This window comes from Homo sapiens, chromosome 7 (assembly GCF_000001405.40).
Source record: "Homo sapiens chromosome 7, GRCh38.p14 Primary Assembly".
NCBI classification, from domain to species: Eukaryota; Metazoa; Chordata; class Mammalia; order Primates; family Hominidae; genus Homo; species Homo sapiens.
The window spans coordinates 135,347,742-135,348,827 of NC_000007.14; the positions used below are offsets into that span (position 1 = coordinate 135,347,742).

The following is a 1,086-nucleotide window of genomic DNA, read 5'->3' on the forward strand; positions in this document are numbered from 1 at the left end:
CTTTTCAGTACCTCTTGCTACTCCTCCAACAATACCCCAATCACACCACTACCTGGTAAGCACTTTCATGTCTTTCTGTCTTTGCACCTGTCACTTCCCTGGCTGGGAATGCCATATCCTCTCCATCCCCTCTGCCACCCCCACCCCAAATCTCTGGGCTTCACCTGCTAAACCCTGCTCATCCTTTATATTCCAGCTTCCATGTTCCTTGCCCTGTGAAGTTGGCCCCGATTCTTCACACTGAACCAATCCCTCCCTCTACATGTCACTACAACATTCTGCACACCTTGGCTTTATGTACTTTTCATTATGTCTTATACTTCACAATTGAAAGCTTTAAGAACTATTCATGTCAGTCTCCCCTTTGAGTCTGTGATTACCTAAGTAGTCAGGAACATGTCTCTTCATTCTTGGCACTCTGGCTGTTGTGTACTCAATAACTGTATGTTTAATAGGTAAAGCAATAAAATATTCATCCATCTATACTGGTTAAAATGCTGCCTTCCCTGGATGCATAAAGACATATTAGTTGTCCCTAAAAGCCTTCTTGAGCACAGGATTCCATTATATTAGGTTGGTGCAAAAGTATTCATGGTACTTGCCATTGAAAGTAAATGGCAAAAATTGCAATTACTTTTGCACCAACCTAATACATTTGGATACTCTGCCAGATACCACAAAGGAGCATCTTCTTCCGAAATGAAAAGCGGGGATAACAGTTGTATCACAACATCTGGTTAAGATTAGTAGCTCTTTAAGTGTCAAAGATAATCAGGGTAATTATTCAAAGTTGTCATCTTGATAGTCTGAGGCAATCAAACTCAAAGCATTGCCTTTCCCCAGGAGGGTTGTTCAGCATAATTCAAACCTGGAAGCCACTTGAACTGAAGGTCTTCTTGATGGGAAATTGTGGGTACTGCTCCCAGGAGGAGGGAAGTCCAGAGTGCAATGTGGCCTGGGGGAGGGTGGGGGATACCTAGATGCACCTCCATTGACACTAAAGAAATCCATGTGGCTAACAGCTTATGCCAAAATCCCCAGCCACCAGTGTAAAGTATGGCAGCAGTATTTCATGAGAAGAAAACA

At 43.0% G+C, this 1,086-nt stretch overlaps 1 annotated feature.

The window, feature by feature from the left end:
* Positions 1-505: a silencer, noted in NCBI's record as "fragment chr7:135032494-135032998 (GRCh37/hg19 assembly coordinates)". NCBI's record gives its function as "represses an EF-1alpha promoter that drives an FKBP-Casp9 reporter gene in an ReSE screen in both phorbol 12-myristate 13-acetate-treated (for megakaryocytic differentiation) and untreated K562 erythroleukemia cells {active_cell/tissue: K562 | K562(+PMA)}" and the evidence as "EXISTENCE:reporter gene assay evidence [ECO:0000049][PMID:32094911]".